General features: G+C 48.9%; 2 annotated features.

Annotated features, from left to right (window-relative positions):
* Nucleotides 5748-6357: an enhancer, noted in NCBI's record as "H3K4me1 hESC enhancer chr20:925889-926498 (GRCh37/hg19 assembly coordinates)". NCBI's record gives its function as "activates a minimal SCP1, AML or CMV promoter by ChIP-STARR-seq in naive H9 embryonic stem cells {active_cell/tissue: H9 hESC(naive)}" and the evidence as "EXISTENCE:reporter gene assay evidence [ECO:0000049][PMID:30033119]".
* Nucleotides 12324-12824: an enhancer, noted in NCBI's record as "H3K4me1 hESC enhancer chr20:932465-932965 (GRCh37/hg19 assembly coordinates)". NCBI's record gives its function as "activates a minimal SCP1, AML or CMV promoter by ChIP-STARR-seq in primed H9 embryonic stem cells {active_cell/tissue: H9 hESC(primed)}" and the evidence as "EXISTENCE:reporter gene assay evidence [ECO:0000049][PMID:30033119]".

A 13706-nucleotide genomic window follows, 5' to 3' on the forward strand; every position in this document is an offset into this window, starting at 1 on the left:
AGTTTCTTCCATCGTTTCCAGGAACATGAAGATATTGACTTATTTATCCTCCAGGATTTTTATTTGGAATGTGAGGGGAGGATAATTCAGTGAACAGTCCAAATAGGGGATCTTCCTGGGAAAAAAGGACAAGTCATAAAAACTGCATTGAATGCCAGTGTGCACAATGTCCTTTCTGTGCCCCAAGACAGTCTCCCTGCATGAGTTCTTGAGCCAGACAGACCTGAGTTCAAACCCGTCTCCATCATGCAAGTGCGTGGGCAGCCTCGCCATGTCACCTCACCTCTCTGCACCTGCGTCTCTAGAACCGGGGGTGGAAGGACCCACTTCAAGGACCCAGTCTTCAAGAAAGAGTGGACCAAGTGCCTCCCCCATGGTGGCCCTTTGACCAGCAGCAACACCCAGAGTGCTTTCTCTGTGAACCCTTCCCTGATAATCCCAGAGTCCCAGGGAGAAAATCTGCTCCCATCTGAAGCAGGAACCATCCAGCAGTGAGTGAACCCACTGCCATTTCCTCCTGCCATGTGGCTAGGCCATATTCCACAGCCTCCCTTGCAGTCAGGAGTGGCCACGTGCCTTAGTTCCAATCCACTGCACTCCTTCCCCTTTGATGGGTTTGATGCACACAGGTCTGAAGACCTCAGCAGCCACAGTGGAAGATGGCAGAGCTGCAGGACACCAGGAGCTTGGGTCCTGAAATCTTTGTGCGCTAGAGCTGCTCACTTACCAGGGGCACCCATGTTGGGCTTTTGGTGAGTAAGGAAAAAACCTCTTTGGTATTTGGTGCATGGTGCCTCTTGGGCTTACGAACGTTACCCACATGCACCGCTTGGGGGGCACCTGTAAAAGTCTGCAGGACGGTCAGCCCGGGAGGACATTCCATGTGGGCACCAGCAAAGGCAGAGGGTGGGAGGTGAGGAGGCCTGAAGAGCCAACGGCAGCCACACTGTGGTGTTGGAACCAGATTGTCCTTCAGTCCTCCCGCCTTGACTGCCAGAGAGCAGCCCATGATCACCATCACATCAAGCCTGCAGGCAGGGTAAGAGATTAATAACAATACTAACAACAGTAATAATAGGAGGCTCTGCCAATATTCAAGAGAACTTACCACTCACCAGCTGCGGGCTGGTTTCTTCCTAGGCCTGATCTCATTTAATCCTCACCATGGCCCAGCAATGAAGGCCCTACTGATGTCAGTCCCATTTTACAGACAAGAATACAGAGGCCCATGAGGCGTCGGAGGACATTCTCCAAAGGGCATGTTCTTGAGCTCAGCTTCCTTCCAGCACAGCCTTTCATCAGGGCTTGGACCTTCATCCCATTATATGTCCAGCATTATTCATAGGCTGAGGACACAGAAGTGAACAAAGTAGATAGAAATCTGGACCTCGAGGGGCTGCGACTCTAGTGGGAGAAAATGGGCAATAAACACACAAACACGTAAATATACAAAAGGAGTTTGGTGAAGGATGAGTGACATGAAGACAGCAGGTCAGGATGCTGCGGTGGGTGAAGGGAGGAGGTGGTGCTGTGCATCTTGAGGTTGGAGGAAACCTCTCTGACATGGAGCTGAAAGTGCTGCAGCAAACGAGTGAGCCACGTGAAGATCTGGGGCAGGCTGTTCCTGGCAGAGGGAACAGCAAGTGCAAAGTGCAAGTGCTACGGCCCTGAGGCTGGAAGGAGCTTGTCATGTTCAGGAACAGAAAGGAGAGAGCAGTGTGGCTGGAGTGGAGTGATGGGGGGTGGGGAGGGATGAGGCTGCAGAGGGAGTGGGTTGGGACAAGTGGCAAGTTTTGGTGGGCAATGGTGGCAGGGGTAGATGATCCTCCAAAAAGACTCATCTGGATGCCAGCTCTGGGGGGTGCAAGGAGGGTATTCCAATGAGGAGAGGAGACAGGGGTTTCAGCCCAAATTTGCCTCCCCACTCTCCACTTGACTTAAGCTGCTCCCCTCTCCCTTCCTTTCTCTCATTCCCTCTCTCTTTTTCTCTCTCTCCAAGTGGAAGCTGGATCCCTAGGGAGGATGAGGCCCGGGCTTGAGTCCAGGCACCAACAAGAGCGCGTTCCCACCCTCCCGAAGGTCTGATGTGGAGCAGAGGAAAAGAATGGTCCTGATATCACCGGAAAAAGGGTCTTATCCCATATCGCAAGAGTGGGTTCTTGGATCTCACATGGGAAAGAATTCAGGGTGAGTTGCAGAGCATAGTGAAGTTAAGATAGGATTAGAGACTAATCAATGACAGAGTAGGGCATCCTCAGAAAGCAAGAGGAGAACGTACCCATTTCAAGTACCAGTGCTTGCTTATATAGGCAGTTAAGAGTAGTGTACTCTGGGCTCACCCCTGTAATCCCAGCATGTTGAGCGGCCAAGGCGGGCGGATCACTTGAGGCTAGGAGTTTGGGACCAGCCTGACCAACATAATGAAACCCTGTCTCTACTAAAAATACAAAAAACTAGCTGGGCATGGTGGCCTGAGCCTGTGGTCTTAGCTACCCAGGAGGCTGAGGCAGGAGGATCGCTGGAGCCCCGAAGGTCCAGGTTGCAGTGAGATGGTGCCACTGCACTCCAGCCTGGGTGACAGAGTGAGACTCTGTCTCAAAAAAAAAAAAAAAAAAAAGAAGAGTAGTGTATTCTGTTACAAAGGCTTATGATCAGCTTGTGACAGGCTACTAGTATTGCTACTTTCCTATGTTACTATTGATTTTAGCAAGAATTTATGAGTGTACTATTATCTTTAAAGCAAAACCTATTATTTTATTTTTATTTATTTATTTATTTATTTTTTGAGATGGAGTCTTGCTCCATCACCCAGGCTGGAGTGCAGTGGCGCGCTCTCGGCTCGCTGCAAGCTCCACCTCCCGGGTTCACGCCATTCTCCTGCCTCAGCCTCCCGAGAAGCTGGGACTACAGGCACCTACCACCACACCTGGCTAGTTTTTTTTGTATTTTTAGTAGAGACGGGGTTTCACCGTGTTAGCCAGGATGTTCTCGATCTCCCGACCTCACCATCTGCCTGCCTCGGCCTCCCAAAGTGCTGGAATTACAGGTGTGAGCCACCGCGTCCGGCCGAAACCTGTTCTTAAACTAAGAATTTTTTTTTGTTCTTAAGATATTGGGACATTTTCATAAGTTCTGCGTCTTTAAGTAACATCATTAACTCGTTCCCTCAACCATGAACATCTTGTAACCAAGCACGTCCACGCCCCTGGAAATGTAACCCAGCAGGTTTGGCTTTTCTGCCTTTATTCAATATGGAGTCAGTCTGGTTAGGATGCCTTTGTCCCTGAGAGTCAGTGCCCTCACAGCCCCTGCCCGGCCTCTAACTTGCTGTGTGACCTGGAGCTGATCATTCGCTCTGGGCTTCCCTTTTCTCCTCTGTTTGAGGAGGGAGCTGGTCTGGTGCCACCATTTTCCAGCTGTCTGTCCTTAGGCAAATTATTCAGCATCCCTGTACCTCAGTTTCCTCATCCATGAAATGAGGATGGCCCAGTTCCAGGCTTACGGTGAGGATTAAATGCACAGTGCCTGGTCTCAGTGGCTGCTGGGAATTACCATCATTACTGTTGTTTTGCCATTCTATTGCTATTGCCAGTGTTGCTATTAGTATTCAAAATGCAGATTGGTGGCTGGGTGCAGTGGCTCATGCCTGTAATCTCAGCACTTTGGGAGGCAGAGGTTAGAGGATCGCCCAGGGGTTCAAGACCAGCCTGGGCAACACGGTGAAACCTGATCTCTACAAAAAAAAAAATACAAAAATTAGCCAGGCATGGTGGCACGTACCTGTAGACCTTACCTGAACTCAGGGGGGTTGAGGCTGTAGTGAGCTGTGATCGTGCCACTGCACTACAGCCTGGGGGACAGAGTGAGACGCTGTTTAAAGAGGTTTATTCTGAGCCAAATGTAAGTGATCAAGACCCGTGACACAGCCCTAAGAGATCCTGAGAAAATGTGCCCAAGGTGGTTGGGTTATAGCTTGGTTTTATACATTTTATGGGTACAGAAGTTACAGGCAGACATTAATCAATCCATGTAGGGTGTACATTGGTTTTGTCGGGAAAGGCAGGAAGCTTGAAAAGTGGGCGGCTTCCAGGTTATAGGTGAATTCAAAGATTTTCTGATCAGCAATTGGTTGAAAGAGTTAAGTTATTATCTAAAGACCTGGAATCAATAAAAAGGAATGTCTGGGTTAAGATAAGGGGTTTTGGAGACCAAAGTTCTTATTATGCAAATGAAGTCTGCAGGTAGCAGCCTTCAGAGAGAATAGAGGGTAAAGGTCCCAGACTCTTTGTTAAATCTCTCCTGCATCAGGAAAAGACCTGGAAAGGGAAAAGGATTCTCTACAGGATGTAGATTTTCTCTACAAGAGACAGAGTTGTAGGGCCATTTCAAAAATATGTCAAAGAAATATATTTTGGGGTAAAATACTTCAATTTCTTTCAGGTCCTGCTATCTGTTGTGTGATGCTATATGAGGAATTTGGTATCTTATTGCTACAAAGAGCATGCTTTGTCAGTCTTAAGCTCTCTCTCTCTTTTTTTTTTTTTTTTTTTTTGAGACAGTGTCTCTCTCTGTTGCCCAGGCTGGAGTGCAGTGGCACTACCTTGGCTCACTGCAGCCTCCGCCTCCCAGGTTCCAGTGATACTCCTGCCTCAGCCTCCTGAGTAGCTGGGATTACAGGCGTGTGCCACCTCGCCTGGCTAATTTGTGTATTTTTAGTAGAGATGGGGTTTCACCATGTTGGCCAGGCTGGTCTTGAACTCCGACCTTAGGTGATCTGCCGCCGTCTTGGCCTTCCAGGCGTGAGCCACCACGACCTGCCAAGCTCTCTGTTTTCATGATAATGCTGGTCAACTGTGCCTGAATTCCAAAGGGAGGAGGGTATGAGGCATGCCTGATCCCCACTTTCCATCATGGCCTGAACTAGATTTTCAGGGTTTGTTGGGTCCCGTTGGCCGAGAGGGAGGTCCATTCAGTCAGTTAGGGGGCTTGTAATTTTATTTTTGGTTTACAGTTCTGAGGCCCCTTCTGGCTTTCAGACTGGCCTGGTTGCTTCCCATCTGGTCACCTCTCTGTCAGTGTTGGGGATCAGCATTCATCTACCCCACGGATGTTCTGCCTGGAGTGGGGGTGGGAAATGGGACTGGACCTCTCGCCATGGGATGCAGCCAGGCCCTCTCTGCTCAAGCCTTCCAGTGCTCCTCACCCAGACACCCTTCTGCAGGGACCCCAGTTTTACTCCCCTGAAAAAGAAAGTTTCCATCAGTAGGAGAAGACAGGACCTGAAATTGTCCCTGAGCCTACATGTCTACTAGGGTAGATATTTTGAAAGCCGGAGAGAGGAGGAAGCAGACAGGAAGGAGACGAAACCCCAGGACTGTCTGCTAACTCCAGGAGGACTGGTCTTCAGAACCCAGGGGCCCTCCGCATTCCTTCTGCCTCCCTATCTCATCGTAGCTCCTGCCCCATCCCCCCACCACTTCTCTCCCCTTTCCTAACTGCGTGCCCTTCTCTCCTCCAGTCCAGCCCAGCCCTACTGAAGAACAGCAACTTGAGCTGGTCTTTCTGTGCTCCGCTTGATTAAAATGTAGAAGGCACCTCTATCCAGAAGACTTGGCTTGGCCCTAATCACTCCCAGCCCCCTTGGCTGAGTGGCCACCCGCTGCTGGCTGCTGTCATCCCACATTGGAAGTGACGGAGGAGCAGAAGAACGAGTGGGTCACCAGCCGGTCTTCAGGCTCCCGGGCCAGCATTCAGACTGGGCAGGAGGTTTGTGGGTGGAAGGTGAGTTGGGCAGCCCGTCAGCCACTCCTCAGGGCTGGACGGAAATAGTGATTAGGAGCATGGGGTTTGATGTCAGATGGCCTGGGGTTGCAGCCTAACTTTGTTATTTACTATCTGTGAGTTAAGCCCTCTGGGTTTCAGTTTCTCCATTTGTAAAATGGGACTGATATTGGAAGATGTCCTACTTAGAATGGCGCCTGAGCCATCGTAAGCCCTCAGTGAATCCACTGTAAGACTTCAGCCCCCAGACTCCCACTGTTCCCTTGCCCCAGCTTCCCTGCACCTCTCCTGCCACTTCCCTCAAAGTTGCTCTCAGTCAGGCCTTGGGAGCCACAATCTGGGAACGAGGACCCTGACATCCCTCTTCACAGCTGTACCCAGCACCAAACAAGTCATCAGAGGTTCAAAACACGGAGCCCCTACCATGTGCCAGGCACGGCATGGCATGCCTGCTCTCTTTCTAATTTTGATACCGCAATGATTAATTCTGTGAAAAAAGTTCTAGAAGGATATAAGGCAAAGAATTAGGTTGTGTTCCGTCCATTCACTCACGGCTCTGCTCCCACGCATGGCTGCGCTATGCACACTGCCCTGCAGCTTCCTTTGTCTGCTGCACAATGGGCTCTGGACGGAGCCCTGTTGGCGCAATGAGTGAGCCCTACATCAAGCTTCGTCATCGCTGCATCGCTTTGCACCGTGTGGCTGGGCCGCCATCAGTACAGCCAACTGCCTCTGATGGACATCTGGGCTGCAGCCAGATTCCTCCTAACAGGGCTTCAGGGAAAGTCCTCCTCAGCGCCTCTTTGTGCGCATGGCACATTTCTCTAAGGCAGGTTTCTGGACATGAGACTGACGGGCAGCATGTGCTCCTTACATTTGGGGGTCCTGTCAATCCCCTCCTCTCCCGCAGGCTGTTCTAGACTCCAGCCCCCATGTGAGAGGATGCCTGTTGCCCTCACTCTTCCATCCTGGCAGTCCCCAGCCTCCTTGCCTCTCTTGTTTTCTTGTTCCGATCAGTTCCAGGTGGCCAGAGGGTCGAGACTCATCTCACAGCCGTGCAATAGATGCGTGTCTCTCAGTCGGTCAGCTCTGGCTGGGATCAGTGTTTATCTTCATGTCGGTGGACACCATCACAGGCACCCGCAAGAATCAGCGATCGACGGGGAAGAGGTTTGGGTGCATGGAGGAGTGCTTTGCAGTGAGGGCTTTGGAGCCTTGTGCCCTGATTCAAATCCTGGCTGTGTCCCCTGCCGGTTGTGTGACTTCGGATAAATTACTTGATGTCTCTGAGCATAAGCTGGGTCATCAGAAAAGCCAAGCTAGTAAGAGCACGTAGCTCAGAAGGCTGCTGTAAAGTTCAGATGAGTTGATATATGCTCAGTGCTGGAAAGGGTGCTGGGCACATTAGCTGTTGGTATTATTTGGGCACCTCCAGCCCAAATAATAATAAAGAGACTAGGAGGGATGTTGGGAGATATCAGATGTTGCTCATTGGAGGCTGTACTGAGTGTGCAGAGAGCTTCAGGGAACCTGGAGCTTTGAGAGGTAAAGGAACGTGCCAACTGGAACTAGAAACCCACTGCCGCCTGCAGCTCTCTGGGCTGTTTCTCCACATGCACCGTGGGGTTGTTCGGGTCCCACTGGGGAGGGTGGCTGGTATGAGGGTGGCCTGGCCTGGATGTGAAGTGGGATTTCCAAGGCTGGCACTCAGTCCAGAGCACGAGCCTTGATGAGGAACAGATGCACTCACAGTCTGGGGTCGCCGCCCTCCCCTCCTCCACAGCCCAGGGTTGGGGTGGCGATAGCTTCCAGATGGGCTTGGCTCTTAGTGGGGCCTTAAATGACTCCCTCTGAGTCCCTGAGAGGTGGGACTTAGGGCCTCTTCCTTGGTTCTCAACCCCCCTGGCCCTGGGGGATACCTGAGGTAGCTGGGTTCAGGCCAGGTGACCTTGGGAATGCCAGCCCTGCTCCGAGCCTCAGTTTCCCCATCTGAGAAACAGGCATTCTCCATCAAGCTGGCTTGGCAGAGCCACTGTGTCCTGTGATAGCTAAAGAGAAACATGAAGGAGGACCAGGAACCCCCAGGAAAGTAGGGTTTCTTTGGTTTTATTTTCTTTTTGTATTTACTTTCTGAATGTATAGTACATATCCATAGCATAAAATTTCAAAGGTACAAAAGGGGTCATAGGTAACAGTAAGCCTGTCTCCCACCCCTGCCCTCCAGACACCCAGACCCCTCTTCCCCGAGGCAAAAACCCTGTCACCAATTTCTTGAGAATCTGCCCAGAGATACGGTATGCACACATAGGAATTTTTTACCCAGTGATGACAAACTTCACACACAGTATTTCACACTGTCCTTTTGTTACTTTAACAATACCCTTTAGAGATCTTCCTATGTCACTCCATAAAGTGCTTCTTTTTTTTTTTTGGATGCTTGGCGAAGATGGTTTCAGAATATTACACAACTTTCAACTGACCAATCAGGATGGGCCCGAGCAGTGCACAACCCTACAGTAGTATATGGCTGCTAGCTGGATGCCAGCTCTGTGTCTTTATGGTTCACCATTGCATAGATGGGCCAATTGCAGGGATGGGTAATTTATAAAGGAAAGAGTTTTAATTGACTCACAGTTCCTTGTAACTGGGGAGGCCTCAGGAAACCTACAATCATGGCAGAAGGGGAAGCAGGCACATCTTACATGGCAGCAGGCGAGAGAGTGTGTGAAGAAGCAAAGGGGGAAGAGCCCCTTAACCAGTCTTCAAGAGATGAGCAGGGGCTGTTTCCAACATTTTGCTCTTTAAAGGAAGGTTGCAATACATACCCATTTTGTACATTTGTAGGAGAATATATGTAGAATAACTTTCTAGAAGTGAAATTGCATTTTACATCCATATGTTTAAAAAAATATCAATTTCCACCCCCTGCCATATACAAGAATTAACTTGAAATCTACCATAAATCTAAACGTAAAACTTAAAACTGTAAAACTTCCAGACAGCAACATGGAAGGGAAATCTTTGTGACCTTGAGTTAGGCAAAGATTTTTTTAGGTACTACACAAAAAGCATAAACCGTAAAAGAAAAAAAGATAAATTTGACTTAATCAAAATTCAAAACTTCTGCTCTTCAAATGATGCTATCAAGAAAATGAAAAGACAAGCCACAGATTAGGTGAAGATATTTGCAAAAGTCATATCTGATAAAAGACTCATATCCAGAATATATATTGAGTGCTTTCACAACTCAATAATAAGAACAAATAATCCAATAACAAATGAGAAAAAGGTTTAAAAAGACATTTCACCCAAAAACAGATATTGATGGCAAAAACACACATGAAAAGATACTCAATGTTATCAGTCATCAGGGAAACATATATTAAAACCACAACGGGCTACCACTACATACCTGTTAGAAGACTAACATGAAAAATAACTGATAATACCTGGAGAGGGTATCTAACAACTGGAACTTAGAAAAACAGTTTGGTAATTTCTTATAAAATGACCCAGCTGTCCTACTCTTAGGTACAAAGAGTAATGCAAGAGAAGTTTGTGTTTTAAAAAGAAAAACTGTAGGCAAATATTTACAGCAGCTTTTCTCATAATCACCAAAAACTGGAAATAACTGCTGTATGAGTCTAGTCTCACACAGCTATAAAGAGACTACTCGAGATGGGCTAATTTATAAAGTAAAGAGGTTTAATTGACTCATAGTTCTGCATGGCTGGGGGGGCATCAAGAAGCTTACAATCATGGCAGAAGGGGGAAGCAGGGGAAGCAGGCACGTCTTACATGGCAGCAGGTGAGAGAGCGTGTGAAGGAGGTGAAGGGGAAAGAGTCCCTTTTAAAACCATCAGATCTTGTGAGAACTCACTCACTATCTTGAGAATAGCATGGAGGAAACTGCCTCCATGATCCAATCACCTCCCGCCAGGTTCCACCCTTGACATGTGGGAATTATGGGGATTACAATTTGAGATGAGATTTGGGTGAGGCAGGAGGATCACTTGAACCCAGGAGGCAGAGGTTGCAGTGAGCTGAGATCGTGCCACTACTCTGCAGCCTGCAGACAGAGTGAGACTGTCTCAAAAGAAAAAAAAAAGAGGTAAACAGGTAAAGAAAATAATTTTAGATCATGATAAGAGTTAGGAAGAAAACATTTTCAAGGCACTAAATAGAGAATGATTTGGAGGGGGTACGATATTTAAAGAAGGTTATCAGGGAAAGCCTCTCTGAAGAGGTAACATTTGAACTGAGATGTAGAGGGAGAGAAGGAACTAGCCATGTGGAGATCTGGGGGAGGAGCATTCCAGGCAGAGGGGATAGCAAGTGCATCTGAAGAGGTAACATTTGAACTGAGATGTAGAGGGAGAGAAGGAACTAGCCATGTGGAGATCTGGGGGAGGAGCATTCCAGGCAGAGGGGATAGCAAGTGCAAGGGCCCTGAGGCCAGAATGAGTTTGGTGTTTTTAATGAAAGAAAAAGGCCAGTGGGTGGGGCAAGGAGGAGAGGGCAGGAGGTAAGGTCAGAGAAGGAATGGGGAAAGTCTAGCTTGCACCAGCCCTGACATGGGACGAGACACCCTCTATGCCCTCGGTCCTGGCGGCTCCTGCTTCCTCCTTTGTGTCCACTCAACATGATGGGTGGGCTTGGCCATCCGCAGACCCCTCTTGATGCCCCAGTACCTTCCCTGCCCCGCCCGACAGTGAGGTCCAGCCTCCTGAACAGCTCCTCTTGCTTGTCATTGGATTAATGGGCAGGAATTGCTTCTGCTTTTTCAAAGCCATTGCCCCCTACCACAGTCCCCTAAGATCATGAAGGTGCGAGCAATCATACTTGAACTGTTGGATGATGAATGCATCACTGTTGATGTGGAGGAGGCTCCCCAGTGTGAGGACTCAGAGCAGGGTCTCGGCCTCTCACAGACCTGGCTGTGTGCTTGGCTCCACCTCCTACGACCTAGGGCCCTGAGCCTCAGTTGCCTCACCTGTAAAATGCGGCAAACAAGCAAGCAACAAGATGCTCAACCTCAGTAGTAGTCGGAGAAACAAGAGCTAAATAGCAGTGAGGCACACCCTTTACCTCCATTCCCTGGATTAGCAAATAGTAGAGTCAGGAACTTCCAAGTATTCATGAGGGTGTGGGCGATGGGAATTCCATGTTCTGCTGCTGGGTGTTTGGACTGGTTTAGTACCTAAGAGCCTAAGAAAGAGTATATCTGATGACCCAGGCATTTTCCTCTTGAGTGTATACCCCAGAGAAATTCTCCTGCAGCTCCAGAAGGAGCCCATTCGAGGTCATGGGTCACTGTGATGGTGTTTGAGGATGTGAGCAGTAGGTGAGAATCCATGTAGATGCCAGGAAAAGCAAACTGCAGGGGCCTCTAAAAAATACCAGATAAGGGATGAGTGCGGTGGCTCATGCCTGAATCCCAGCACTTTGGGAGGCTGAGGCAGGTGCATCATTTGAGGTCAGGAATTCAAGACCAACCTGGCCAACACGATGAGACCCAATTTCTACTAAAAATACAAAAATTAGCCAGGTGTGGTGGTGCGCACCTATTATCCCAGCTACTGAGGAGGCTGAGGCAGGAGAATTGCTTGAATCTGGGAGACTGAGGCTGCTGTGAGCCAAGATCACACCACTGCACTCCAGCCTGGGCGACAGAGTGAGACTCCATCTCAAAAAAATAATAAAAATAAATAAATAAATAAATACAAGAATAAAATGAATAAAAAACCAGATGAAAAAGAAAACCAAAAAGTAAAAATAAAAAACACCAGGTGCATGAGAGAAAAAAAAAATAGAAGACGGGGAAATCTGTAGCACACGACCATTTCTGTGATTTTTTTTTTTTTTTTTTTTTTTTTTTTTTTTTTTTGCGACAGAGTCTCACTTTTTCGCCCAGGCTGCAGTGCAGTGGCGCAATCTCGGCTCACTGCAACCTCCGCCTCCTGGGTTCAAGCGATTCTCCTGCCTCAGCCTCCGGAGTAGTTGAGATTACAGGCATGCACCACCACGCCCAGCTAATGTTTGTATTTTTAGTAAAAACGGGGTTTCGCCATGTTGGCCAGGCTGAACTCGAACTCCCGACCTCCGGTGATCCACCCGCCTCAGCCTTTCAAAGTGCTGGGATGACAAGCGTGAGCCACCAGGCCCGGCCCATTTCTATGAATGAAAAAAACTCACAAGCTACAGAACATCCCTACACGCGTTAAAAGGATTCACACACATTCAAGCCCAGAGAACAGACTCACAGGAGCAGATGCCTGGGGGGAGGGGGAGGGGAAAGGGCAGAAGAGCATCAAGAGCGAAATCCAATTCAATCCAACTGTGCAACAGACAGTTTGCAGAATTGATGAGGATGTTTAACCCAGGTCTTGGCACCCTAAGTCCAAGTAAAAAAATAAATACGATACAGCAGGTAAAATGGGGGATGATGGAAGGGTGGCGATAGTAGTGCCTTTCTCATGGGGAACCCTCGAGGCTCCGATGAGCGAAACCATGCAGAGTGCTCAGCCAGGTGCCTGGCACGCAGCAAGGTGTCCGGTGCACAGCAGGGCCGCCCAGCTGTGAGCGGTGCGTGTATTCTCTCCAGCCTTGAATTCAGGCCTGGCTCCTTCTGCTTCCTGGTCAGTGCCGCTCTCTTGTGGCCCATACAGTGACAGGACTTAGACTGAATAGAGATCTGCCATGGTCCAAGGTATCTGATGGCGCTTCGGAGGAGGGAAGGGAGGGAGTCACATGGGGGAGATAGGATCACCAGAGGCAGATGGGATCACAGGAGGGAGATGGGGTCACAGGAGGAAGAGTGACTTCCGATTGGGGAAGAGATGGCGGATCAGATAAGGCCTCCTGGAGAAGGAATGTCTAGGCTGAAGGACAGATTCGACTGGGGGTCAAGGGGATTGATGAGCAAATGAAAGAATGAATGGAGTTAGAATATTGAGCATGAGCATTACTTAGCCCTACTGTGTGCCAAGGCTTTACATGCCTCATATCATTTCGTCCTCTACCACCCCTGGGAAGGCGACTTATTGCTTCTGTCTCCTTTGCAGCTGCAAAAAGGGAGGCTCAGTGGGTTAGCGACTCATCCAAAGTCAAGCCGCCAGCTGCACATAGAGCTCTGATACACACCCAGGTCGTGTGACTTGCTGGGGGACTCTATCTTCTCCACTTTGGGGTGGACTGAGGGACCCCAGTGAGCATAGGTACAGACCACCCCTGAGTCTGTCTGGACCATGTGTTAGCAGAAGTTTAATACTACACCTGTGCAGCAGGTGGAGATGGGTGGGACCTGTGTGGACGAGAGGAAGTGGATCTTGGGACAGCTACAGCATGCAGCGGCTCACCCCAGGGCTGGACCCTCACTCTTTGGCAGGCAGCTGGGGCACCACACCCAGGGGTTAAATGTGGAGACTCACTTCTTAAGCTAAAGGATGTGTCTGTCTTCAAGGCACTCTCCGAAAAATGCCTCATTTTGGAATTTATGTCAAAGCCATTTAAATCCTTATTAAGAGTATTTAAAGATCAGTTTTCAAAATGTCTCCTAAGTATTTCATTTTTGTTTTTCTCGACTTGGTAGTATATTCCCATGGCTAAAAATTCAAAAGGGACCAAAGATAAAGGTAAGCCTCCTCTCTTTCCATCCACTCTAACCTCTCCCCACCCAGAGCCATCACTGTTACTGGTTTCTAGAGTGTTTTGTCACCTGTAGGTTTTGTGCATTCATGAATCGTACACACGTGTATTTTCCCTCCTTCCCGTCCCCCCGCGTGGGGGCTTACTATGCGCGCTGTTCTGCAACTTGCTTTTTTCACTTGGCAATTCGTCTCAGGGACTGCCCCGTCATTGTGTCAAATCCTTCCTCGTGGTGCTTCTCGGCCATGCGGTGTTGCACTGAGTGCTGTGACATTGTA

The sequence above is a fragment of the Homo sapiens genome, chromosome 20 (genome assembly GCF_000001405.40).
Source record: "Homo sapiens chromosome 20, GRCh38.p14 Primary Assembly".
Lineage (NCBI taxonomy): Eukaryota > Metazoa > Chordata > Mammalia > Primates > Hominidae > Homo > Homo sapiens.